The sequence below is a fragment of the Homo sapiens genome, chromosome 21, assembly GCF_000001405.40.
Source record: "Homo sapiens chromosome 21, GRCh38.p14 Primary Assembly".
Lineage (NCBI taxonomy): Eukaryota > Metazoa > Chordata > Mammalia > Primates > Hominidae > Homo > Homo sapiens.
Genome location: NC_000021.9, coordinates 12,981,184 through 12,983,683, shown reverse-complemented (window position 1 = coordinate 12,983,683; position 2,500 = coordinate 12,981,184). Strand labels below are relative to the sequence as shown.

Below are 2,500 nucleotides of genomic sequence, written 5' to 3'. Positions count from 1 at the left end.
TGAGCAGTTTTGAAACTCTCTTTTTGTAGAATCTGCAAGCGGACATTTAGAGTGTCTTCAGGCCTATGGTGGAACAGGAAATATCTTCACATAAAAATTAGAAGAATTCTGAGAAACTTCTTTGTGATGAGTGTGTTCATCTCACGGAGTTGAACGTTTCTTTTCATTAAGTAGTTTGGAAACACTCTTTTTGTAGAATCTGCAAGTGGACATTTGGAACTCTTTGCGGCCAATGGTAGAAAAGGAAATATCTTCACATAAAATCTAGACAGAAGCAATCTGAGAAACTTCTTTGTGATGCGTGCATTAATCTCACGGAGTTAAACCTTTCTTTTGATTGAGCAGATTGGAAACTCTCTTTTTGTAGGATCTGCAAGTGGACATTTGGCAGGGCTTTGAGGCCTGTGGTGGAGAAGGAAATATCTTCACATAAAAAGTAGATAGAAGCATTCTGAGAAAGTTCTGTGTGATGTCTGCATTCATCCCCTGGAGTTCCAACTTTCTTTAGGAGAACCAGTTTTCAAATACTCTTTTTGGAGAATCTGCAAGGGGACATTTCAAGCACCTTGAGGCTTAAGTTGGAAAAGGAAATATCTTCACACAAAAAAACAGAAGAATTCTGATAATCTTTTTTATGATGTGTACGTTGAGCTAACAGAGTTGAAACTTTCTTTTGATTGTGTAGTTTGGAAATACCCTTTTTGTAGAATCGGCAAGTGGACATTTGGAGCGCTTTGCGGCCTATGATAGAAAAGGAAATATCTTCACATAAAATCTAGAAGGAAGAAATTTCAGAAACTCCTTTGCGATGTGTGCATTCATCTCACAGAGTTGAAACTTTCTTTTGATTGAGCAGTTTTGGAACACTCTCTTCGTGGAATCTGCAAGTGGATATTTGGAGCCTTTTGAGGCCTATTGTGGAAAAGGAAATACCTTCACATAAAAACTACTCAGAAACATTCTGAGAAACACCATAGTGATGTTTGCATTCAACTCACAGAGTTGAAACTACGTTTTGATTGAGCAGTTTTGAATCTCTCTTTTTGCAGAAACTACAAGTGTATGTTTGGAAAGCTTTGAGGCCTATTGTGGAAAAGGAAATATCTTCACGTAAAAACTACACAGAAGCATTCTGAGAAACTACTTTGTGAGGTGTGCATTCAACTCATAGAGTTGAAATTATCTTCTCTTTGAGGAGTTTTCAATCTCTCTTTTTGTAGAATCTGCAAGTGGATATTTGAAGACCTTTGCGCCCTATGTTGGAAAAGGAAATATCTTGAAATAAAAACTATGCAGTAGCATTCAGAGAAACTTCTTTGTGATATGTGCACTCAACTCACAGAGTTGAAGCTATCTTTTGATTGAGCAGTTTTGAATCTCTCTTTTTGCACTATCTGAAGGTGGATATTTCGAGCCCTTTGAGGCCTACAGTGGAAAAGCAAATATCTTCACATAAAAACTATGCAGAAGCATTGTGAGAAACTACTTTGTGAGGTGTGCATTCAACTCACAGAGTTGAACTTATCTTCTCATTGAGCAATTTTTGAATTTATCTTTTGGTAGAATATCCACGTGGATATTTGGAGCCCTTTGCACCCTATGATGGAAAAGGAAATATCCTCAAATAAAAACTATACAGAATCACTCAGAGAAACTGCTTTGTGATGTGTGCATTCATCTCACAGGGTTGAACCTAGGTTATGATTGAGCAGTTTTGAAACACTCTTTTTGTAGGATCTTCAAGTGGATATTTGGAGCGCTTTGAGGCCTACAGTGGAAAACCAAATATCTTCAAATAAGAACTACACAGAAGCATTCTGAGAAACTTCTTCACGATGTATGCGTTCAACTCACAGAGTTGAACCTATCTTTTGATTGAACAGTTTTGAATCTCTCTTTTTGTAGAATCTGCAAGTGGAAATTTGGAGTGCTGTGAGGCCTACTGTGGAAAATCAATTATGTTCACATAAGAACTACAGAGAAGCATTCTGAGAAACTTCTTTGTGCTGTGTGCATTCAACTCACAGAGTTCAACCTGTCTTTCAATTGAGCAGTTTTGAATCTCTCTTTGCAGAATCTGCAAGTGGATATTGGGAGAGCTTTGAGGCCTATGGTGGAAAAGGAAATATCTTCACATAAAAACTACACAGAAGCATTCTGAGAAACTTCTTTGTGATATGGGCATTCAACTCACAGAGTTGAACCTATCTTTTGATTGAGCAACTTAGAGTCACTCTTTTTCTAGAATCTGCAAGTGGATATTTGGAGCCCTTTGCACCCTATGGTTGAAAAGGAAATATCTTCAATAAAAACTACACAGAAGCATTCTAAGAAACTTCTTCATGATGTGTGCATTCAACTGACTGAGTTGAACTTATCTTCTCATTGAGTAGTTTTCAATCTCTGTTTTGTAGAATCTGGAAGTGGATGTTTGGAGCCCTTTCACCCTATTGTGGAAAAGGAAATATCTGCAAATAAAACTATGCAGAACCATTCAGAG

General features: G+C 37.4%; 1 annotated feature.

Moving 5' to 3' along the window:
* Nucleotides 1,643-2,144: an enhancer, noted in NCBI's record as "OCT4 hESC enhancer chr21:14353861-14354362 (GRCh37/hg19 assembly coordinates)". NCBI's record gives its function as "activates a minimal SCP1, AML or CMV promoter by ChIP-STARR-seq in naive H9 embryonic stem cells {active_cell/tissue: H9 hESC(naive)}" and the evidence as "EXISTENCE:reporter gene assay evidence [ECO:0000049][PMID:30033119]".